Source organism: Homo sapiens, chromosome 2 (assembly GCF_000001405.40).
Source record: "Homo sapiens chromosome 2, GRCh38.p14 Primary Assembly".
In the NCBI taxonomy this organism is placed as follows: domain Eukaryota; kingdom Metazoa; phylum Chordata; class Mammalia; order Primates; family Hominidae; genus Homo; species Homo sapiens.
The window spans coordinates 11810105-11834174 of record NC_000002.12 but is presented as its reverse complement, the minus strand read 5'-3'; the positions used below and the strand labels follow the sequence as shown (position 1 = coordinate 11834174).

At 45.8% G+C, this 24070-nt stretch overlaps 1 protein-coding gene and 1 long non-coding RNA gene across 17 annotated transcripts in view, besides 2 other annotated features; both read right to left on the bottom strand.

The window, feature by feature from the left end:
• LOC105373430 (uncharacterized) overlaps positions 1-1953 on the bottom strand; it is a 34063-nt gene extending 32110 nt beyond the window's left edge. For 2 of the 3 annotated variants that reach the window (XR_001739287.2, XR_001739288.1), the window contains exons 1-2: positions 747-955; positions 72-549 (exon numbers count right to left, since the gene is read on the bottom strand). This is a non-coding gene — a long non-coding RNA (uncharacterized LOC105373430). Of the gene's footprint in view, positions 1-71; positions 550-746; positions 956-1508 lie in introns of those variants that run through there. The other variant, XR_922803.3, reaches the window with a different exon arrangement.
• Positions 3418-4134: an enhancer, noted in NCBI's record as "OCT4-NANOG-H3K27ac-H3K4me1 hESC enhancer chr2:11970167-11970883 (GRCh37/hg19 assembly coordinates)". NCBI's record gives its function as "activates a minimal SCP1, AML or CMV promoter by ChIP-STARR-seq in primed H9 embryonic stem cells {active_cell/tissue: H9 hESC(primed)}" and the evidence as "EXISTENCE:reporter gene assay evidence [ECO:0000049][PMID:30033119]".
• Positions 6382-6491: an enhancer, noted in NCBI's record as "active region_15325". NCBI's record gives its function as "activates an Ori minimal core promoter by ATAC-STARR-seq in GM12878 lymphoblastoid cells {active_cell/tissue: GM12878}" and the evidence as "EXISTENCE:reporter gene assay evidence [ECO:0000049][PMID:35858748]".
• The window catches only part of LPIN1 (lipin 1), a 149866-nt gene continuing 132561 nt past the window's right edge, over positions 6766-24070 (bottom strand). For 13 of the 14 annotated variants that reach the window (NM_001261428.3, NM_001349208.2, NM_001349207.2 and 10 more), the window contains 4 exons: positions 18935-19087; positions 14577-14691; positions 13661-13764; positions 6766-9543 (listed from right to left, as the gene is read on the bottom strand). In NM_001261428.3, the coding sequence (NP_001248357.1) occupies positions 9384-9543; positions 13661-13764; positions 14577-14691; positions 18935-19087 (532 nt within the window). In that variant the 3' untranslated portion in view covers positions 6766-9383. Of the gene's footprint in view, positions 9544-13660; positions 13765-14424; positions 14692-18934; positions 19088-24070 lie in introns of all 14 variants that reach the window. The other variant, NR_146080.2, reaches the window with a different exon arrangement.

Genomic DNA, 24070 nt, shown 5'->3' with positions numbered 1-24070 from the left:
TACATTAGTGACAAAGAACAGAAGGCAGAAGAGAAACATAATTTGCTTAGTCCTGTGTCCCACTGTCTCACCAGCTCACATTCTTGTGTGTCCAATCAGTCTCAGTTTCCTGGTGTCCTGGCCAGTCTTGCCATTCAGCCAGGAGATGATGTCTTTGGCAGGAACCTCAGTTACATACATGCTCCATTCCGCACCACAGCATAATTGGGTCCTTGAAGATATCTCTGAATTGAAAGAGCAAGCTCTGCCTGGTGAGAGGAGCAGGGTCTGGTTTGCATTTGTTCCTGGTCAAAACAGGAAGTGCCTACCCCATTTTTCACAGTGTTAGCTTTTTTACAAAGCAAATGCTCTGTGGTGCACACAATGATTCAACCCTGAGGAATACATGGAGGCTGCTCCAAGTCATTTTCATGGCTCTGTGGCCTCTCACCATCATCAGCTCAGCCAGGATGGATGTTGGTGCCTCTCATTGAGTATTGTCCTGCGGTCTGGCTCGTGCAGCAGGCATACAACGTGGCTGTCGCTCCGATGCCTCCCCACTTCACCTCACTGGAAACAGTGAAACAGAGCCTGATGACTCTCTGATCATTCTGGATTTGGAGACTTTAATCCTAGTCCTGCCTTTTACTAGTTGGAGGACCTTAGACAAAAGTCTCTGAATTTCAATTTTCCCCTCAATAAAATGAAGTTAATGACTGTAAACAGTGATTTGGAAATAGAAATGATAATAAACAGTTATGTCTTACCTGGCAGTTTCCAAAGCACAGAGAGCTTGGTATGGGTCTGCTTGAAGAAGACCACAGGGAAGGTGAGGCTGAAGCTGGGCCTTGAGAGGTTCCTGGGGCTTCCACTGGGGAGAGGAGGGTGACCAATGAGCTAAAGTATGTGCAAGCTGGGCTGGGCGTGGTAGCTCACCCCAGTAATCCCAGCACTTTGGGAGGCTGAGACGGGTGGATCATGAGGTCAGGAGTTTGAGACCAGCCTGGCTAATATGGTGAAACCCCATCTCTACTAAAAATACAAAAATTAGCTGGGCACGGCAGCACACGTGTGTAGTCCCAGCTATTCGGGAGGCTGAGACAGGAGAATCACTTGAACCCGGGAGGCGGAGGTTGCAGTGAGCCAATATCATGCCATTGCATTACAGCCTGGGTGACAGAGCACAGAGCAACACTCCATCTCCCAAAAAAAAAAAAAAAAAAAAAAAGAATGTGCAAGCTGTCAGCCAGATGAGATGTTCGAAGGTGCGTTACTGTAAAGGCCATCTACTGTTGTGCCAGTTGAGAGAAGTCCCTAGAGGATTTGCTTCAAGGAACATAAGAACAAGCACATCAACCAGTTATGAGTGCCCTCAAAAAACCATGTGTTATCCACAAGCATAGTGAGATACTACCTACTACCAGGCACACACAGGACATCCTCAATTTTAATGTTTGCCCTTTTTAAAGCTCACATTTTCATACGTTGTACATGGACACCCTAGACTACCCCCTGGGTCTGAAATTCACCTTTATACATCAGCCAATGGTTTCACACTGTGGCGAAATGATGCAGACTGCCAGGCGCTGCTGCTGCTGTGGAAAGAAAAAGCCAGGCCTCCTCTGAGCCAAAGTCAAGTCAAGGTCAAAGTCTTCCTCCTCCCGTGGATGTCAAGGGCATCTCCGGAATCCCCAAGGGGTGGTGCTTTCTGATCAGCCTGGTGTCTCAGGGGTGGAGAGGTGGGTGCATAAGGCCACCCTTGCCCCCATCCCACTCATCTGGAGGTGTCATGCTAATATCCCTTCCCCCATCTTTTCTCCAGGCACTTCACAAATCTGGTCAGACCTCAGGCTTTTGAGACTGCTTAGCTACCTTGCACCCTGACCCCGTTCCTGCAACAGGAGGTGCCTGTGGGAATGAGAGGTACCCAGACCAGTGTCCCTGATCCCCAAAGAAAGCTGCCTCCCATCCCAGGACCCCCAAAAATCCATGCAAACGTTATCACCTGCCCATCCACCAGCTTGCTCCCAAAGCAAGCAAAACCATTATGAAAAGTTGTAAAATTGCTTTGGCTCTCTAAAAATAGGATTACCCACCCATTACTTTAGACACCCAGCCTCTCCATGTGATTTAGAGGGCGGCAGAGCACATGCAGGTCTGGAAGTGGCTTCCTGCAGGTCTCTTCACCTGCTCCTCTCTCCTCCCCATGGAAGGAGCAGCTCTACTCTCCCATGAGACCGCTGAGCCTTTGCCCAAGGATGGATCGGAGTGCAGGACCGCTCCCTGTACATCCGTAAGTGTGCCAAGGATTTGAGTAAGCGAAATGATCATGTAACCTCCAAACCAAGGCTTTACAGCACTTCAAAAAGAGAAAATCAGGACAATGAATTCTGGCTGAACTTTAAAGTCCCCAAATCCAAGTCAGTGCCACATTTGTCCTGTGAGGCAATGGATCAAGGAGATCCCATCCTTGGTGTAAAAGTTTGCAACAGTTCACTGGCAGTCAATGTAGATGTCAATATGGAATAAGAACTTTTTCACTACCGCGTTTTGCAGAAGTCAGCGTTATAATGATGATTTTAATGGTGGTCCATTATGCTCAAGTCAGAAGAATCAAGTTGACAAATGAAACTAAAAGCACAGATACATCTATTATAAGCCCAAATCCAACATCATTTCACTAGCTTCAATACATCAGCACTTTCCACTACGTACCATTAATATTAACTTGAACTCTATTAGCGCTGTAGTTTTGTTTTGGTTTTTGTTTTTGAGACACAGTCTCACTGTGCAGTGGCGCAATCTTGGCTCACTGCAACCTCTGCCTCCCGGGTTCAAGCAATTCTCCTGCCTCAGCCTCCCAAGTAGCTGGGATTACAGGCACGTGGCACCATGCCTGGCTAATTTTTGTATTTTTGGTAGAGACAAGGTTTCACCATGTTGGCCAGGCTGGTCTCAAACTCCTGATCTCAAGGGATCCACCCACCTCGGCCTCCCAAAGTGCTGAGAGTTCATGCTGGGCATGAACCACTGTGTCCAGCTGATTAGCACTATAGTTTTATCTGTACTTAAATGAATTTTGGTTTTATAATGCTGTAAGAGCTACTGTTCAATGTTTGTACATATTTAAATAAAGTTATATAAAAAATTTAGTTCAACACTAACATTTTAAATATGCCTACATTATTTAAATTTGAGGAAAAATATTGTATAATATTTGTCCACTTAACATATACTCGCTAATCCTAAGAAATTCATCTATTCGGATACCATAAGCGGATTTGTGTGGAAGGTCCGAAGGAAAAACATTTTACTGTACAAGAAATTATCCTTATGGTCATCCTCTGTGTACTGCATGAAGGAAGAACACAAACTTTTGTCCAGAATGAAGTCTCTTTCAATAAATTAGAGGTTAACCGCCTCACTCAACCAACAAGCACTGTTTATTTTTTAGGATCTCCCTGAAATACGAATCAATAAGACAAAGAACAAAAGCAAACTTGGTGGGTGGGGGGAGCGGGAAATACGGAGTTCCCAAATGAATGTGTTACTTGAAAATATAAACCATTTCTTCTTAGCTTGGCTCTGTCAACCATCTCGGAAAAGGATGTTTTTACAATCAGAGCAGAAATATGACTGGCGGCTCCTACATTTACATTTCTTTGTTGCAAAATGAATGTAACTTGTTCAGATTCCAACAGGGAGAAAGCAGCAGAAGTGGTGGTTACTTTCCAAAGTGAAACTTAAAACCACAATCTCCGGTGCACAAAAGGCAGAATGAGTCACAGGAAGAGGCCACTTGCTTGCAAAACTCATTAAAAGCAATGCAGGGCTGAATGGACTTCCTGCACCAGTGAAAAGATCGCTGGCATCAGGACAGGCACCTCCAGGCTCCAACAATTTGGGGGAGGAAGGGAGCCATTAGCAATCTGGGCACAGCCCAGGCCTGCTCCTTCACATGGACACCCCCTCCAAACTCCGCCATACACACACATACACTCACACACACTCACTCACTCACACTGCACGGCCTGGAATCCCCTCCCAGCCTGGGCCGGCCCACATCCCTGGGAAGGTGTCTCAGGCTGGAAGCCGTGTAGCAAAGGATCACAACGACACCTTGTGACTCAAGCGAGCGCCTGTACTGGGTTTCCAAGCTCCTTTTCAGGAGTGGCCGGGGGAAGACAATCTTTCCAGCGGCTTCTCTCCTGTGGCAGATCTTTGTGAGCTCTGGGCGGTGAGCGTTGCTCTGGCCAGGCCAAATTAAAGTCAGATGTGAGCTGAGCAATACAGAAGAGGCTACCTGGGAGCAGCATGCAGGGCCTCCACTGCATCATCTAAACCCTGCTTCTCCAACTTGTACGTGAGGCAGAATCCCCTGAAGGACTTCTTAAAACAGATAACCCGGCCCCACGCCCACGGTGAGATTCAGCAGGTCTAGGGTAAGGGCCTGAGCATTTGCATTTCTAACAAGTTCCCTAGTGCTGGAACTGCAGACTACACTTTGAGAATCGCAGATCTAAATGGTTTTTAGACCTGAACAAACAGCCAGACAGCGCCCTTTCCAGCCAGTTAGTGTTGTTGACCTTGGGCTGTGCCAACTTGCAGGCACGTTGGTACCAAAACAGTCCCCTTGAGGAACTCCCCCCTCTGCCCACAAGTTGGATCCACAGCCTGGCTGGTCTCCAAGGCCAGCACTACCCGGGAAGGGGCCTTTGTCAAAGTGGGGACTTTTTTTTTTTTTTTTAAAGGCTGTGCTGCCAAACCAAAAGCGACTGTGCCCCCCGGTGGCCATTTGGGCCCGTTGACTTCCAGGGTCAGGTCAGCTTCTGTCTGCTCATGTTTTGGTTTCCCTCAGGTACCAAGCTCCCTGCCTGGCTTGCAACAGAAGTGACACTGATCACCACCTTTGATGCAGCAGGAGTTTCAAAAGGGAGTTGGAAGCAGAAAGGCAGAAAACCTACTGGCATTTTCACCACTTTCTCTTAGTTTAAGGCAGAGATGGGGCACAGCGCTGCCCCTAACTAGGTCTGAAGACAAAATATAAAATACAAAGGGGAGTGGTCAGAAATTAGCCAGGTGTGGTGGCATGTGCCTGTGGTCCCAGCTACTTGAAGGCTGAGCCGGGGGATCACCTGAGCCCAGGAGTTCAACGTTACAGTGAGCTATGATCACACCACTGCACTCCAGTCTGGGCAACAGAGCAAGACCCTGTCTCCCCCCAAAAATAATAATAAAATAGTCTTTAAGTAATAAAGAGCAGAGGCAGACGAATGTCAGTGGAGATGGACAAACCTCTCCTGGAGCAGTAGATTAGGCCACACCAAGTTTCTATTCTAAGAGCCAGTTTTGTTGTTTTGTTTTTGAGACGGAGTTTCACTCTTGTTGCCCAGGCTGGAGTACAGTGGTGTGATCTCAGCTCACTGCAACCTCCACCTCCCGGGTTCAAGTGATTCTCCTGCCTCAGCCTCCTGAGTAGCTGGGATCACAGGGACATGCCACCACGCCCAGCTAATTTTTGTATTTTTTTTAGTAGAGATGGGGTTTCACCATGTTGGCCAGGCCGGTCTCAAACTCCTGGGCCTCAGATGATCCACCTGCCTTGGCCTCCCAAAGTGCTGAGATTACAGGCGTGAGCCAACGCACCCAGCCTTTAGGAGCCAGCTTTTTAATTTTTTAAGAAGGGGCCGACTTAACTTTCCTCCAGGACAGTTCCGCTGTTCTAGGGCTGTAGTAGGGCCACGTGCATTCCCTCTTCCTGGAAAGAGCACTCTGGGGTCCAATGCTGATGGTCAATGGCCCCATCGTCAACCTTCCTCGGCTTCCGATGCAAGAGAGCTGATGTGTCAGTGTTTGAGAACCAAGCTGTAAAGCCTTTTAAACATTCAGGTGATCACAGCTGAGACGCTGGGGAAATCCAAGCCCCCGAGCTCGTTTACCCCGCACACGTGAGAGCTGCCTGCAGAGCTCCGCCAGCACGTGGGAATCCACAGGCCAAAGACAATAGTCTAGACAAATTTTTATTTTATAGATAAAAGAGCCCGCACACTGAAGTCCGAGTTGGAACAAATCCGTGATGGTGTTCAACAAAATTAGAAGGTTTTGTTTTTTAAGATGCAAAAGCATTAATTCTACAGGCACCTAGAGATGAACCGTTTGGATTTGGGCTTCATTAGGAATTGGGCCTAGTATCCTGGCCGGCTATGTTGCATTTAGGGGGCCAATACTTTTCCATTTATTCCAAAAACGCTTAGGCTGATGCAGGTAAATCAATAGGAAGCTTCCAGCCACGTTGACATGTAAAATCAATAGGAATTATGACAGTTTTCAGCTTATATGATTGCACTAGTCAAGGATTTTGATTCATTCAAAATGAAAAATGAATCTGGGGTTTACCACAGAGAAGAGTCGAAAAAATGAGGACAGCAGCTGTGAGGCTGGGGAACCCCCATGTGCTAAACACCAATTCTAGGCCAGGCCCTGGGAGGCACTTCATGAAATTCACTTGATTGAAACCTCCCTACTCCTGAATCATCCCACCAGGGCAGGGAGGGATCCCGGGTGCAGCCTTCTCCTCTCTTTCTTCATCCCTCCCGTCCCCAGCAAGTGCATAGAGAAGGCTGGTCTTTTACCCATTTAAATCTAAAACATCAGGAAAAACATTTATTCCAAATAGTGAACAATTCATAGCCTGAAGATTTTTTTTAGAATATGCTTGATAACACACCCCAGAAAAGTCAACAACTTAGTAACTTACCAAAAACTATTTAAAATTCACACACCTGATTTTCAGAGAAGTCTTTCATCGGTCTCATTTATTGCAATATTTTCTAGCTTTGCATCCAGTACAACACAATGAAGTATTACAGTGATTTTTATCATTGCATCAGCATATACAAATACAGATCAAATGCAAATAAAGTGTGCTTACAGTGGTGATCCAAACATAAAATTGCAAAGGGAATTCTCTTTGAAAGTGTAATTATTTTTCTCCAATGTACCAGGTATATATTTTTCTCTATGCCAGGTATACATATTTGTCTTCATCACATGTGACAAACATTTGATGACTTGTCACTAAGTAGGATTCATTTCCATAGGGCAACTTTGAAATGTGTGGTCCAAATACAGCATTCCAGCACATGACCTCAGCATCACTGGGTTATAGTCATGTACACAAAGATAAACCAACTCGTATATGCGTGAGTGCAGCCCATATACAAATCTCACTTTCAGAAGCCAGAAGGCAGGTGTTAATATGCCAGCCTTGCCAGGGCTCACATTGAACTTGACACAGATCTGAGAGTGTGACTTTCTGGAAAGCATGCTCTGTTTCAGGGTGCAGTGATGTGGAAGTTTAAGGTACATCAAAATTCGGGATCCAAAATTGCATCCTCTGAAAACTCCGCCTGCAGGGTGTGCTGCTGCAGAGGGCTGCCTGGATGCCAACTGCATGAGGGATACATCCCCCCATTCTCGCAGCCAAAGTTCCTCCTGGGTGCAAAGGAGAAACCGTCTGAACCTTTGCAGGCCCATGAGCTTATACTTAGTTCAGAGCAGTTAAAATTCACTCAAAAATACCCTCATTGCATAAAGAATGAATATAGCCTCTTTAGGTTACTAGTGAACAAGCGCAGAGGAGTTAGTTAAGGCAGGACTTTTTTTTTTTTTTTTTTTTTTTTGACATGGAGTCTTACTCTGTCACCCAGGCTGGAGTGCAGTAGTGCAAGCTCGGCTCACTGCAACCTCAGGCAGGACTATTTTTAATTATTTTTAATACCTGCAAAAGGGAATCTGCACATGCACATCCGTGTTTCTACAGAAATCTGCGATCGATGGCAGATCTGTTTGCCTTTGTGTGTCCACATGAACCATTTGGCAAAGGCATCCAATGCTAACGGGGCCCACCAACTACAACGGAGGCAACAACTCTGTGGATTTTCTTTCACAGAAAGAGTAAAATTTCATTCAACCGTTCCATTTTTTGCCTCCTGTGATTCTAACAATGAAATTTAAATAGGAAAATGTTTCAATCGTTGGAGTAAAACACTCTTTAAAAAAATAATGCTTCGAAAAGTAAAGCAAAATCTTTTACCAAAATAATTCTTTCACTTTTCAAATTGTTCTGTCCACGAGCCAGTGTAATAAACAAGTGAAAGAATCACATTCTGTAGGCTTAAAGAATGCCAAATTATTACTTTTTCGCTTGCCCTTAATTTGAGTGGAAAAAGCTAAGGAAAATAAATGACTCAGAAATTCCAAAAGAAGGTCAGTCTATGAGAAAGAGAGAATAAGGCCCTTTCGATAGTCTAACACATACATCTTTTTAATATATTAATGACAGTGGTATAGAAAGAATATGAATAAATGCCTATCACAGTAACCTAATCAGAGTAAAACAATACATAATATCTAAAAGAATATAGTTGAACTTCTTGAAACTATTTTCTTAAAACCAACCAGTTTCTTTGGAGAGCTCCCAACAGAAGTCAGTATCATTATCATTTGGCATAAGTGTGCTCAAGTCCACACTGTCAGCACCACCTCGCTGGATGGAAGGAAGCCGGCAGTGTCAAACTCATTCAAAATACTGCCTTAGTAATATTTACTGTCATTTTAATCTAAGGCGTTGCAAAGTTACCATGAGCTAGATAAAGCGCATTCTTAAATGTCTGCCATAGATATATTAAGGCATAAATATTCCAGCCTTGAGCCACAAAAACTGGGGGGAGATATGCCAATGAAATAGACTATCTTTAACCAAAGGAATTAAAGAAAAATTTATCACCTAAAAATGAGACTAGTCAGCAAATACTGTAAGGGGCCCATCCACAAGGCCAAGTCTGAGGCCAGGCCTGGACCCGGTGGCGTCCAGATTTCTATCAGAGACCTCAGATCCAGGTCACATGAGCCTTCACAGCCCTCCCCACTGTGTTCAGAAGGTGGTGGCACTAACATTGCTATAATGGAAATGTGCCCCCTACTTTGCCAAAAACCGTGCACATCTGGCATTCCTCGATTGACCCTGTCCTAGGCGGGGACAGCCCTCAGACAGCCGCCTTCTGCCTAGGTTTCACAGCCCCAAACTGCACGTGAACCAGTAGCTACTTGCTGGAGCAGGCCGGAAAGGCAGCGTCGTAACTGGCATTAAGCCACAACTGAGGAATGCTTTTCACGGTACAAATGCACCCAACTCCTAGCCTAGAAAGTGCTCCCTTCCTATCTTGCTTAGAAATGTCAGCCCCGGGGTGGGGCAGGGGAGAAATGCTTCTCAATTCTCTCTGCTGTCAGGCCAATGATGACGCGCCAGGCTCCCAGGTGGAGCTGTGCACTCCGGGGAGACCTATCCTTTAATGGGTGACAACCAGGCTCTGCACTGCTGGCAAGAGGCTGCTTGGGACATTTTACGCTGAGGCAGAATGAATGTCCTGGTTTTCAAAAGGTGGCAGTGGCTCTCTCCAAAAGGTGAAGTTACTGAAGGTATCCGAACAGGGAAAGTCTGAAGAATGGCTTCTTTTCAGCAACGGGAAAACGTGGTCGACTACTTCACAGAGTCTCACATACCTGGAAGGAAAGGGACATTGTCACTGGCACTGAGCGATACCAGCTATGCACCCAGGGCTGCACGTAGAAGTCAAGAGAGATCTACAACCTCAAGGAGCAGACCGCCTACTTATCGACACGACTCAAGTCATTCTAGAATAATTTGTTATCGATTAATTGAAAATGAGAGATGAAAATGAAGAGTATGCAAACAAGGCATCAGAGAAGGCTCTGGGGAAGAGGTGGGTGGGACCTGACTTCACTTGAAGGACAGGTAAAGGAGATACAGCCAAGCAAAAGACGGCAGGAGGAAGTCACCATGGCCATGGGATAGCGCCTGCTGCAGGGGTCACATATGGGACATCGGGGGAAGAATCACAGACAAGGCACATCTTTGGAGCACCTGACAGAGATTGCTTCATTGCATAGTGAAAAGGAGCTGGGTCCTGGGGTTAAAGAGACATTAATTTGATGTTCAGCTCTGCCATTTACTAGCTGCGTGATCGTGGGCAAATGGCGTAACCTCTCTAAGCCAATTTCCTCCACTGTAAAGGGAGGAAAATAAAAACTATGCCACAGTTTTAAGGATAATTTAAATAAAATAACATATGCAACATTAAAATAATGTATACTGGGTGCTCAAATGTATCTAAATGACAAATTATCAACACGTCTTAGAGAAAAAAGCCCTGGTTGGCATGACGGTCAAGAGACCCGGGCTCTCCTGCTTGCTGTAACCTTGGACAATTGTCTTGCCCTCTTGGAGCCCTTCGTCTTTATAGTCTGTGGAGCTGAATTAGAGCAGGGCTTCCCAATGCTTCCTACAACGTTCTCTTGCTCTCTTTTATTTGCATGCCCAAAAATATGTTGCATGTTAGTTTCTGTGGCTTATACTATGAAAAGAAAGTTGCTATTGCTATATTGAATATGCATGTTCAGACCTCCAGGCACCTCCAAACTGAGATTCTGGCACACCCAGCCCACTGCCAGCCATCCCCAGATTCCTCCTTGACAGTCACTGATCACTGTCTAGTTCCAAATTGCTAAGAACCTAAAGGAACTTCCAAAATCCAGACTCCAGAAGTGTGCATGTTCTGAGGTATAAAATAATGTACTAAATGAAGCCGAGTGTGTATATTTAATAAAGGACCTCCAAAGGACTTATGAGAAACAGTGTGCTTGCACAAAATGGGAAAGTGACGTCTCCTAATACAAAACCAAGAGTTATGTCTTTCCTTGGGATTCAAACAAACAGACAGATTTTTAAAATACCTCCCGGCTTTAAGGCTTATTTGTCTGAGGTTTGTGGCTGCGGCAGCAGGGCCCCTCCCTGCAGGCTTGACTACAAGGCCGCGGTGCACTGGAACCAAACCCACTCTCACACTCCCTGAGCGGCCAGGCCGAGTTCCATCTGCGCGCCTCCCCCAGACCGACCTCCACACACAGTGCTCCTCCCAAGCAGGCAGAGCTTACGCACAGACACTCGCAAACGAAAGGGAAAAAGAACTGAGCTGCTCCCGCTGTGTGGCCCCAGCCTCTGAAGACATTTCAGATGACTGTCCCAGTTCTGAATGACAAGCATCTACTTGGCTCAGAAATAGCTATACCAAGTTCAGCGCCAGAGAAATGTGAGCTTCCTGGGGGAGGAGATTTACTCTCTCACAGGAACAACCCCGCCTCCAGTCCAGGTGTAAAATGTCAACATCCCCTGGCAATGAGTAAAGTCTGCAGAGCTCCACCCTAGGCCAAGCCATGGGCGAGGTGTGCATTTTAACCCTAGAGCCTCAGTCAATGCAATGACCGCAGAGGCCACCTAGCCAAACCCTCTCAGATGCTGGAGTCCCTCTTTCCATGCGTGCATGGCAAGACCTGCCACTTTCCCATTCCTGGACAGCGTCTCATTGGTTCAAAGTTCTTTTTGATCCTGATATGGTTTGGCTGTGTCCCCACCCAAATCTCATCTTGAATTCCCACGTGTTGTGGGAGGGACTCAGTGGAAGTTAACTGAATCATGGAGGCAGGTCTTTCCCATGCTGTCCCTGTGATAAAGTCGCATGAGATCTGATGGTTTTATAAGGGGGAGTTTCCCTGCACGAGCTCTCTTTCTGCCTGCTGCCATCCATGTAAGACATGACTTGATCCTCCTTGCCTCCTTTGACCATGATTGTGAGGTCTCCCCTTTTTTTTTTAATTTTTTTTTTTTTAGATGGAGTCTCACTCTGTCACCCAGGCTGGAGGGCAGTGGCATGATCTTGGCTCACTGCAACCTCCGTCTCCTGGGTTCAAGTGATTCTTCTGCCTTAGCCTTCCAAGTAGTTGGATTACAGGTGCAAGCTGCCATGCCTGGCTAATTTTTTTTTTTTTTTTTTTTTTTTGGCATTTCTAGTAGAGACAGGGTTTCACCATGTTGGTCAGGCTGGTCTTGAACTCCTGACCTCAGGTGATCCACCCACCTCGGCCTCCCAAAGTGCTGGGATTATAGGCATGAGCCATCGTGCCCAGCCTAAATCCTTTCTCCTGTATAAATTACCCAGCCTTGGGTCCATGTCTTTATTAACAGCATGAAAACAGACTATAACACAGATCCTAAATAGAAACCCAGTAGGTCCTCTCCAGCCTGGGGAATGAGAGGGGAGTGGGAACGAGACATTGTCACAGTCAGCCACTTAGAACAGTGGAGGTGGCAGAAACCGCAAGGAAGGGTTAAGAAAGGAATCAAGTTCCTGCTGTTTTTCTGCCAATCAGGAAGCAGCCTGGCACTGCCTCGCCTTCTGCAGGAGGGAACAGGGCCTTGGCTCCAGCCTCCCCTCTCTCTGCACAAACCTTGAGGACTGCTTGGGTACTGGCATGACTGCAGGGTGAGAGGAGTCTTGTGGGGCAGCCCCAGGACTCCTGTTAGCCTAGAACTGCCCTATTGACACTCAGTTAGAATCCAACTAGTTTAAGGACCATCTTGAAAGTAAAAATCTGCCCTAGAGAGAACTTATCTCTCTATCTAAAACCACAGAAGCTACATGGAGAAAACCAATCCTTAGGAATCTCCTAGAACCAAACTCCCCCAGTCTAACTCCTCCAGATAAAGAGGAACCCCTCGGGCTATCTGGGGCCACTAAGGCCAGAGGCTCTTTTGTTTTTTGAGACAGAGTCTAGCTCTGTCGCCCAGGCTGGAGTGCAATGGCACGATCTGGGCTCACAGCAACCTCTGCCTCCCGAGTTCAAGTGATTCTCCTGTCTCAGCCTCCTGAGTAGCTGGGATTACAGGCATGCACCACCACACCTGGCTAATTTTTCTATTTTTAGGAGAGACGGGGTTTCTCCATGTTGGTCAGGCTGGTCTCGAACTCCTGACCTCAGGTGATCCACCCACCTCAGCCTCCCAAAGTGCTGGGATTACAGGCATGAGCCACCGTGCCTGGCCTGCCAGAGGCTCTTTTCCAGGTCTGCACAGACCAGACCAGAAGAGGTGTAGTCTCTGAAATGGACAAGGCAGGAAGACAAGGGTCGGCCTGGGCTGATGTCACCCAGTGGGCCAACCTCCCAACAACATGGAATGAGGAAATGCTCTCCATCCTAATAAGTTAGGAACCCGAGGGGGACAGGATAAAGTCAAGAGTGATTCTAAGCACACAAGGATGCCTCATTAGAAAGAGTAATCCCATTTAGCCCACCGACTCAGAAAAACTGGGCTTTGACCAAAAATATGAAGGGAATTCTTAACAATTACACAGCAATGTCTCTGGTAAGAAACATTTGGTATGTGAAGAGATATACAGTTCCTCATCTTTAAATATAACTTCACATATTTCAGTTTGGTTATATTTCTCATTCACATTCTAGGCTTTCAAACCTAACTTGGCAAATCTAAACTACTAGTTTTCAAATTCATTCAATTCCATTCTGTAGCAGACTCTAACCACGAGTTTAAATTTTAGACCCAGAAGGGATCTGATTTAATTCCAGTTGTCTAAAAATTATGTTTTGGACAAAATACAAGGAGTTAAAATACATTTTTTCATTATAAGAATTACAGATTAACATATAGGCAGCAAAGGGGAAAAGGTACACCGCAAACTGGGAAGCACCGTTTTAAGATAATAGTACTGATATCATAATCACATAAAATGTGTACAATACTCACGAAGAGATGTTGGTCTTTGCATGTTCCTGTACCAGCTCTCCTTTAGGGTTGACGGTAAATATTCTATTCAAAGACACTCCTACTTGCTTGTATGAATACACATCCTATATTTGGTAAAGGTGATTTAAAGTGTTCATTAGAAAAGAGTTCATTGTAAAAACAAGTCCATGGTATTTCTGATTTGATGAGATATCAAATTTTCATTAACCAGAGCTCTACCTCAAAGTGGTGCAGTGAAAGAATATCCTTTGATGGGAAACTATTCAATTAGTTTTGCTCTCTGGGCCTCAATTCCCTCATCTGTTCAAGGACTGAGTTGAAGAAAAGACAACCTACCACGTCCCCGCAATTCTAACATTCCTTCAGGTTATTCTTTGACCCATATTCCTACTTCATGAAAATCTCTCGTAACTTTCAAAAGTAGGACTTTCTGATGGAGCAGTTAGTACCCAACTACATTCTCTAGAATACTTAGCTTTCCAGTAAATGCGGGCAATACATGCAAAATCTCAAAGCGCTTCTTTCATGATACGAGACAACACTAGACACTTAAAACGTGAGATGCTGAATTCGCCATTATGGTTAGGACTGATTTTGCGGTTCCCTTCTGGTAGAAAGAAACTAATCCGATTAAATGTTCTTGCTTTACTGCTTTAATGAGTAATTTGAAATTTGGAGTTTTAAGTCCCATATCTCAAGCTTTGACCCACCCGCCAACCTTCAAAGAACCCTGGAAGCCATAAGATAATTTGTAATCCCCTTGCCTTTAGATGTGGGCAAGTGGCTCTTCACCAGGCTACTGCTTCTGGGATGAGAATCTGACTCTACATATGGTTCTCGGATAGGGCTTTCAGATGACAGCAACCAGAAAAGGCAGTCATTTCAAGGGTTCTTCTATACCCAATCTACTACTTACAGCTGGTCGGTTTCCAAAAGCAGCATAAAAGGGTTCTGTGTTGGGGAAAAACAGGTTTTTGATGTCTGTCAAACACTGGACTTTAAACTTTTCTGGCTTCTTTTCAATCACTTCTCTGTTAAACAAATAAATAACAGATTAACATGAGAGGCTAAGCTTCCTTTAGCATCAAACTGTTTTTAGCTGACAAAGCTGCCGCAACACTGAGAAAACTCAAATCTTCAAAAGTTTAGTGTGTGTCAGGCAGCTGAGACATCCCAGAAAAGCACGAGATGGAAAGTAAACCCGTACTTTCAAGTCTTTCTACAAAAGAAAACACCAAGGATGAGCCATTTCACCAAGGGTTATCCTGGTCATCCAGGGAACAAAGAATGACAGAGCATAAAAACAAAAAAGAACATCTCCAAATTAATTCGATGAGGCTAGCATAACCTTAAAAACAAAACCTAAAAAAAGAAAGTATGGGCAAAGTGTGGACCAATCTCATTTGTGAATATACGTGCAAAAATTCTAAAATATATATATACACGTGTGTGTGTGTGTGTGTGTGTGTGTATGTGTGTATACAAATTGTAGCAATGTATAAAAGCTGGGTTTATTCCAGGAATGAAATAGTAATTTAATATTTAAAATCAATATAACACATTATCAGGTTAAAAGAGAAAAACATGATCATCTCAATAGATACAAAAAGGGTATTTGATACCAGTTACCTCCCAAATTAAAATTCATTTTTTAAAATACTTAAATTTAAAAAGAGGATTTGATACAATTTAACATCTAATCCAGATGAGAACTCCAACCAGGAATAGAAGGGAATACTAAAAAAACCTACAGTGAACATCTTATTAACAGTGAAATAAGGGTGGTCTGTATCATCATGGCAATTCACTGCTGTATTGCCTGTCCTATCAAATGCAATAATGTAAGAAAAATAAATAAAAGTTATACATACTAGAAAGAATTAGGGGAAAAAATTGTCATCACAAAAAACAAATATGCACATTAAGAAGATGAACCTACACATGAATTACCAGAATTAAAAAGACTCTAATAAGGTTAACAAGTCAATGTACCAAAAAAAAAAAGTACAAAAATTAATCGCATCATTTTCATGCATTAGAAACAAGCAGAAAAGGTAATTGTGTAAATGGTATTTTAAATCAAATTTTAAAATATAAAATGTCTAGAAATAAATCTAACAGAAGATGTGCCAGACCTTTACAGCTAAAATTATAAAACTTTACTGAAATATATTAGGAAAGACCTAAACAAATGAAGAATAGACTATACTCTTGAATTGGAAGATCCAATATAATTTTGAGATATTAATTCTTCCTAAATTGCTCTACAGATTCACTGCAATTTCAATCAAACTCATAACAGAGTCTTGGGTGTTTTGATGAAATTTGAGTCTAGAAGCTACGAAAACGAGCAGAAAGCCAGGCCTAGCACTTCCGATGCTGGGAAGGTGAGGAGCTTCTGCAGCTGTGGGAGCTGGGACACTATGGCCTTGGCCAATTCGTCCAGGCCTTTGCCAGTGGAACAAAACAGAAAGCCCCAAAACAGAACCACACGTTCACAGATACTTGCTTTATGACCACAATGGCATCTCGGAGCAGCAAGGGCAGGGCAGTCTTTTTTTTTTTTTTTTTTTTTTTTTTTTTGAGACAGAGTCTTGCTGGTTGCCAAGGCTGGAGTGCAGTGGCGCTATCTCGGCTCACTGCAAGCTCCGCCTCCTGGGTTCATGTAATTCTCCTGCCTCAGCCTCCCGCGTAGCTGGGACTACACTACAGGTGCCTGCCACCATGCCCGGCTAATTTTTTGTATTTTTAGTACAGACAGGGTTTCACCGTGTTAGCCAGATGGTCTCCATCTCCTGACCTCGTGATCCACCTGCCTTGGCCTCCCAAAGTGCTGGGATTACAGGCGTGAGCCACTGCGCCCAGCCAGGGCAGTCTTTTTAGCACATGGTGTGGGGACAAATGAATATCCATATAGGAAAAAAAAAATTAAACTGCACCCCTACTTCATTCTACCTAAATAAATCCATTCTTAGTGGACTATAGACCTAAATGTGAAAGCAACACCTTCAGATAAAATCCAGGAGGACTGTCTTCATGCCCACAGGTCAGAGAAGACTTTGGTAATACACAAAAAGCACAACTACAGAGGAAACAATACATTCAATGACATAAAACTAAGTTTATTTTCATTAAAAGCTATGAACTGGGAAAAGACATTCGCAGCACTCCTGACAAAGGCTAAGTGATCACCATCCTGTGCTGAGGGCTTGTTTTTGCCAACTGCACCACACGCATATCCACCCACTACCTTCCCCTCCTTCATCCTAATTCAAAACCTAGCAGTAAAATCAGAACTGCACCCAGTTAAAGAGTTGTGCTAAGGAAGGTCATTTGTGTGCCCGTCAATGATAAGACTGCATAAGGAAAATGTGGCACATATACACCACGGAATACTATGCAGCCATAAAAAAGAATGAGCTCATGTCCTTTGCAGGGACATGGATGAAGCTGGAAGCCATCATTCTCAGAAAACTAACAGAGGAACAGAAAACCAAACACTGCATGTTCTCACTCATAAGTGGGAGTTGAACAATGAGAACACATGGACACAGGGAGGGGAACATCACACACCAGGGCCAGTCAGGGGGTTGGGGGGGAAGGGGAGGGAGAGCATTAGGACAAATAACTAATGCATGCTGGGCTTAAAACCTGGATGACGGGCTGATGGGTGCAGCAAACCACTATGGCACATGTATACCTATGTAAAAAACCTGCATGTTCTGCACATGGATCCCAGAACTTAAAGTAAAATTAAAAAAAAAAAAAAAAAAGGAAGGTCATTTGTGTTAGGGCAGCCTTCGCTAGCAATTCTAGAGAACTCCACAGGACAGCTAGCACATGGAACGGCTCTGGCTTGATGGCAGCCCTAGGAAGGACCAGGCCGGTGGCCATCTGCCACTGGAGCACCTTGGCCTTCCAAGAGGACATATCAACTATGAGATTTAGGGTTTTTAAAATAATTCCTCCCAGGGAAAAAGCAATACACCTTGGACAATGATATTTAAATAAGGAAATGAAAAGGATCACTTTAAATGCATAGTTAGTGTTAGGATGTCGGAGTAACGATGTGGACTTTTTGCTTGGCCTAGCAAAGCCTTACTACTTAACACAGGCTGATGAATGGCTTGTTGCAAATTGTCAGCATAGCTTAGGGACACAATTTCACTAAAATATCAGGATTTCTATTGAGATCAGTGCTGTTATGATAGCTCTGAGGACTTGAAATACACTAGGTTGTGCCTGACTTTTCTCCCCTAGAATGTGCATGTCTCAATTTGACATCTTTTACTACAGGAAAAAAGCTACTGCTTACACAAAACAACGCCGTGATGGAAAAGGTACCTACAGAGCTAAAGGAAAATACACAAGAATCAACACAGCATTTGGGGCCCATCTAGATTCTTCCACTGTTTGCATGATTAGCAGCAGCAAACAGTTCATCTGGTCTTCAAATTCAGGCAGAATCACGTCAATGACATTCATAAAGACCAAGTTTATGATATTTACAATCAGCCTTCAGCAGGGACCAATGTCCTATGGTTGACCACAATAGCTTTTGCTTTGAGAGGTGTCTAGTAAATTGCCCTGGGCCTCCAACTACAGGGACGTCCAGTGTTTTCTTCCTCCAACTCCAAGGGGCCAGAGTTAGTCTGGCTTAGCTACCTTGATATGGCCCCATAGGTGAAGGGAGGAAGGTAATCAGAAACTGGCCAGTGGTCTGTTAGAGGACCCGTAAAATGAACAGTGTTCCCAGAAATCTAAGACAGAAAATGACAAGTATGATGGGTGTCAAAGGCCAGGTGAATGATGGTGGTTCGCAGACAGGCCACTTAAGGATCCCTAAGGAGATGAGATAGAGGCTCATTGTCCAACGGACATTAAGATTCAGCCAGGCCACTCAAGAAGAGATGGAGCAGGAGAGTGACCCAAAAAGACGGAACAGCATGTGCAAAGGCTCCAAGCAGAGACAATTGTCTGGGAGACACAGACTGAGATGTAGAGACGAGAGAAACACGCCTGGAGAGGAGGGGAGGCGCAGGCCATGAGGAGCCACCAAGCGCCAAGCTCCTGAGTCTGGACTCGGCCTGAAAGCCATGAGGAGCCAATGCAGGTGTAGACCTGTGTTTGGAATGATTTTTCTGGTGCCTGCTATGGAGCATGGATATTGGGGCAGAAGACCAGTGAGGAGGCTATTCTTACAAAACTTGCAGTTAGGAAGAGAGCGGGTCTGAACAGGCTCACAGATGGAGGTGCAGGGAGCAGGCCTGGTACCTGTGCAGGGCAGAGAAGAGGCTGCTGGGACTCAGCAGCAGGGGCCCCTGGGGCAGCACCGTGCCCCTCTCGTTGACCCAGTGCAGGTAGCCCCGCGTCATGTCCGCCATCCCGATGGCACGGGCAGAACAGTAGAGAAATTTATATCCATTCCTGAAAGACATAAAACATTCACATTTCATGGCATCAGAAAATGGAACCTTTCTGCATTCATAAATCCTGATCCATATCTGTTCTGTGGAGAATGGCACTGTTTCAAGTTCCCCCACATACAAAAGTCCACATTCTACAAAATCTTGCTTGCAATTGAGAAATAGGCTTAAATACATTTCACTGTAATTCACTAAGTGCTTTTGCATTCCCCACTTTGTTTAATCCTCAGGAGAACATGGCTGGATGAGTATTTTCCCCTGGTTTTACTGCTATGGAAACTGAGGTTCAGATGGATGAAACTGGCTCACCTGCCTGCGCTTGAGCCCCTTGTACTCCCCCTGGTCCCAGCTCTTGGCTAGAGCCCCTGCGACAAGACCACAGCCACCTGCCAATTCACACACTTTGCTCCAGCATTTGCTTCATTCGCCCCTACACACACCCCATCAAATTCCTCCTCTCTTTTGGGTAATTCACATCAGCACATAAATATTCTGCAATCTCTCATTTCATCCTTAAAACAAGCCAAGCCAAAACAACCACACACACACACACACACACACACACACACACACACATGCACACACACCAAAACATCCTTAGTCTCTCTCTGGCTAAGATACCATTTCTCTGTTCCCTTTTGTAGCAAAATTCTTCCAAAAAGCTGACTACAAGCATTGAGTCCACTTCTTCACTTTCCTTCCTCTCCTCACACTCCTAGCAGACTCTTGTTCTCTTGTTCCCTTCCTTGCTGTCCCTGCACAGGTCACCCTGATGCCCATCTTGCCAAACCCAGGTATCAACTCTCAATTCTTGTAGGAATGGACTCCCCAGTAGCATCTGCCTCGGGGGCTCATTCCTTCTCCCAGAGCACCTGAGTCACTCAGCTCCCAGGACTCCAGAGTGTCCGGGTGTTCTCCTCCTCAGCAGCCACCGCTTCCCAGACACAGCAGCTCGCCTGCTCCCATCAGCTCTGCCAGCCTCAAAACGCACAAGCGCCCAGGGTTCTCAGGCCTCATTTCTCCACACCCCCCACACTCCCTAGAGGACCTGGGAACCTCACCCACTTCCACAGCTCCAAATGCCATATCTAGACTGAAGAAACAACTAGTCTATGAACACAACTTTATTGCGTTAGCAGGTCCATTTCACTTTTTTTTTTTGTTTATTTGTTTTCGAGACAGAGTCTTGCTCTGTCCCCCAGGATGGAGCGCAGTGGCGTGATCTTGGCGCACTGCAACCTCTGCCTCCCAGGTTCAAGCAATTCTCCTGCCTCAGCCTCCCAAGTTGCTGGGATTACAGACATGCACCACCACGCCGGCTAATTTTTGTATTTTTTATAGAGACAGAGTTTCACCATGTTGGCCAGGCTGGTCCTGAACTCCTGACCTCAGGTGATCCACCCGTCTCGGCCTCCCAAAATGCTGGGATTACAGGCATGAGCCACCACGCCCGGCCCCATTTCACTTTTTTTAACTATCAAAAATTTAGTGTCTAGAATGAAATGTGCTCTAAGTATAAAATATATACCAAGTTTCAAAGTCTATTATAAAAAAAAGAAAGTATGCGCCGCCCTGTCTGGAAAGTGAGGAGCACCTCTGCCCGGCCGCTGTGCAACCTTCCAAGTGTGAAGTGACAGCCCTGTGTGTGACCTTTTCTGTCTTCCCCAAGTTTGCATTTTCGACATTAAAGTTTACTTTTTAATTAAAAAAAAAGAAGGTATGATATATTTCATTAATCGTTTTCATATTGATTACATGTCTAAGTGATATCATTTTGAATATGTTGGATTAAGTAAAACATATTATTCAAAAATTTTAAACACTATCTATACACTGATATCTCCCAAATGCATGGACCCCGTCCAGACCCCTCTCCCAAGCTGCAGGCTACTATGAACTCCACATTACACCCACTGCGCAGTACGTGCTCACCGTGGACCCCACAGTACTCATCGCACTCCAAAATGGGTACCTCCAAAACCACACACACCACAGCGGCTCCTCCCCAACTCACCCCGAGACTCCTCGGGGGCCCCTGTTGCAAGTGGCACTGCAAGTAGCAAGTGGCACTCTCCTAACCCAGGTGTGACGTCAAACCCTCAGGGGCCCCGTTGGTGTCTACCTACCCCCAGCCCCCACGCCACACAATCAGCAGGTCCCCTCTGCTCCACCCTCGGCACCACCCAGTGCTCCCACCACGTCCACACCGCATGGCCTCCTGGCCTCCGTTGCTGCGACAATCTTGAATGACCTCCCTGCTGCTATCCCGACTCCACGTGGTGCTCTAAGAAAATGTAAAGCGTAGCCCACTCACACTCAGAGCCCTCCTGAGGCTGCAACCTCTCACAGACGTCGTCCAAACCCTTCACTGTGGCCTATAAGACCAACAAGACCTGGCCCCCACCTTTCTCTCCAACCCCAACCCCATCTGCAATGACTGTCCAACTCCTCACTCCTGGCAAACCACACAGGTGTTCCCATCCTTCCTCCAACTCGCCACGCTCATCTGCGCTGGCACTTGCCCATGCCGTTCCTCCTGCCTAGAGCACCTTTCCCCCAGTCTGCAGGGACTGCTTGTACCCTCACCTCATCTAGGTCTCTGCTGGATCTCACCTCTCCAGAAGGCCCTTCCCTTGACCTCCCCCATGCGATGAAACACACACCCCCTCACTCCTCACCCAGGCACTGGCCCTTGCTCTGCCTTCCCTCTCCTCCTAGCACTGATCACTAATATGACGTTATAGTCCTTCATTCGACTGTATCTCTCATTCATCCATAAACTCCATGAGGACAGGGACTTTGTCCCATTCTTTGCTACAACCCCCGTGCCAAAAACAGTGCTTGGCATGTAGCAGACATTTAGTGAATATTTGCTGAATGAGTGAATAAACTACCCACTTCCTATCCAACATATTGTTCTACCATGAATATTTTATAATGGCCAATGGATTTGTTTCGAAAATTGCTCAATAACATGTTCTTTAAAACTAAGAAATGAGAAAGTTTTAAGACAAAAAGAATCTAGAAATATCAGCTTGTCTGGAATACAGGGATGCATCTGAAAATCAAACAAAATTAAAAATTTCTTTTTTTTTCTTTTTTTTTGAGACGGAGTCTCGCTGTGTCACCAGGCTGGAGTGCAGTGGCACGATCTCAGCTCACTGCTACCTCCGCCTCCCGGGTTCAAGCGATTCTCCTGCCTCAGCCTCCTGAGTAGCTGGGACTACAGGCATGCACTACCACGCCCAGCTAATTTTTGTATTTTTAGTAGAGACAGGGTTTCATCATGTCGGCCAGGATGGTCTCGATCTCTTGACCTCATGATCCACCTGCCTTGGCCTCCCAAAGTGCTGGGATTACAGGCCTGAGCCTCTGCGCCCAGCCAATCTTTTTAATTTCTAAATATCTTTGTATTTTAGCCATCTAATTCATACAATCTTTAAAAAGAAATCACTATTTCCATGTATAGCTCTTCACATCAAAGTCCTAAAAGCTGCCACCTGCAGAGATCTAAGATGCTAATCTCACTCAGAACTGGATTGTCAAATATATTTCACAGTTGGGCCATGCCACTGAGTTACTGTCAGCATGCCAGCCTTCTTGCCTGACTAAACTTAGCTGGAAAGCCAGCTCGAGAGTGACCTAATGGGGAAAATGTTTGCTGCTGGTGGAAGAGCCTTCCCTCCTGCCTTCAACAAAAGCTGTCTGCAATGCCAACAAGTGCCCCACCAAATGCTCAGGCAGCACTAAGTCTCCATGGTGCCCCTCACAGGGAAGACCCCTCACTCAGAAGGACAACCGGTGGCAGGACATGCCACACAGGCCAGCCCAGCCCAAGTCCCTGCTCAACCCACAGGCTCCTTCCACGGTCCCTTCAGTGCACACTCACTCACTGAGCACTCCTATGCCAGGCTGCACACGGGGCTTGGGGTACGCACAGGGCATGGCACAGCCCTGCCCCACAGAAGCAGAGGGTGCTTGGGGAAAACCAACAATACCCAGAAGGACAGGTGGGACCCAGGAATAGGAGGTGTCAGTGGATAAAGGTGCGATACACACATCACCCCTGTTCCTCTAGCATTCTCAGCAACTGGAACAGGGCTCTGGAGAAACACCAGAATGGGAAGAAGGAAAAAAAAAAGAGGGATCCATGCCCAGGCTTGGTACAAGTTTTCTCCTCTGCCTAATCTCTGCATCCCTCTTAAGACACTGACTCGGGGAGATTTAAATAGTTTGGAAAGATTACCTTCGGGAGCATTTTGCAAGCTTCTAGACTGCAGTTTCTCAACACTGACATCTGAGATTGGAGGAGTGTCTGTTGGGGACCGAGGCCCCCACGATGCCACCTCATCAGATATGCGGCACCATCCCGGGTCCACCCACTAAGAGTCAACAGCATGCCCCTTTATGTCCATCAAAAGCATCTCTGGACACTGCCATATGTCCGTCAGTTGAGAGCCACTGCTGTAGAGAAAAAGGACTCTGTGGCCCCATCTGCCATCCTAAGGGGAGAGAGGGTCACAAGCCACCTTGAGAAAGGAAGGCTCAGCACCACTCAGGCTTGGTGAGTTGCCTCCCAGGCGCTCTGCAACCTGGCTCCTGCCTACTTTCCTGCTTCATCTTTTACCCACCCCACCGTCTGCACCGGAGTCTCCCTTTCAGTGAGCCCACCCAGTACCTGCTCGTCTCCCAGCCTCCCCTCTCGCTCCTACTTCCACCTGTGGTGAGCTTTCCTCTCCTTTGAAACCCTGCTCCTCCATGGAGACTCAGCTGAGTGCCACCTTCTCACAGGGGCCTCCTCTGACACCTCTGGTCAATCAAAATTAACTTCCTGATGTATGTCCAACAAAAACCAACATCTTTCACACTCGATCTGCCCCTCACTGCCTTATTACAGGGAGCCCTAAGTGTCTCCTCCCACAAGACCACAAGCTTCTTGAAGGGAGAGACTGCTCAGCACCCCCGACGGCACCTAGGACAGCTC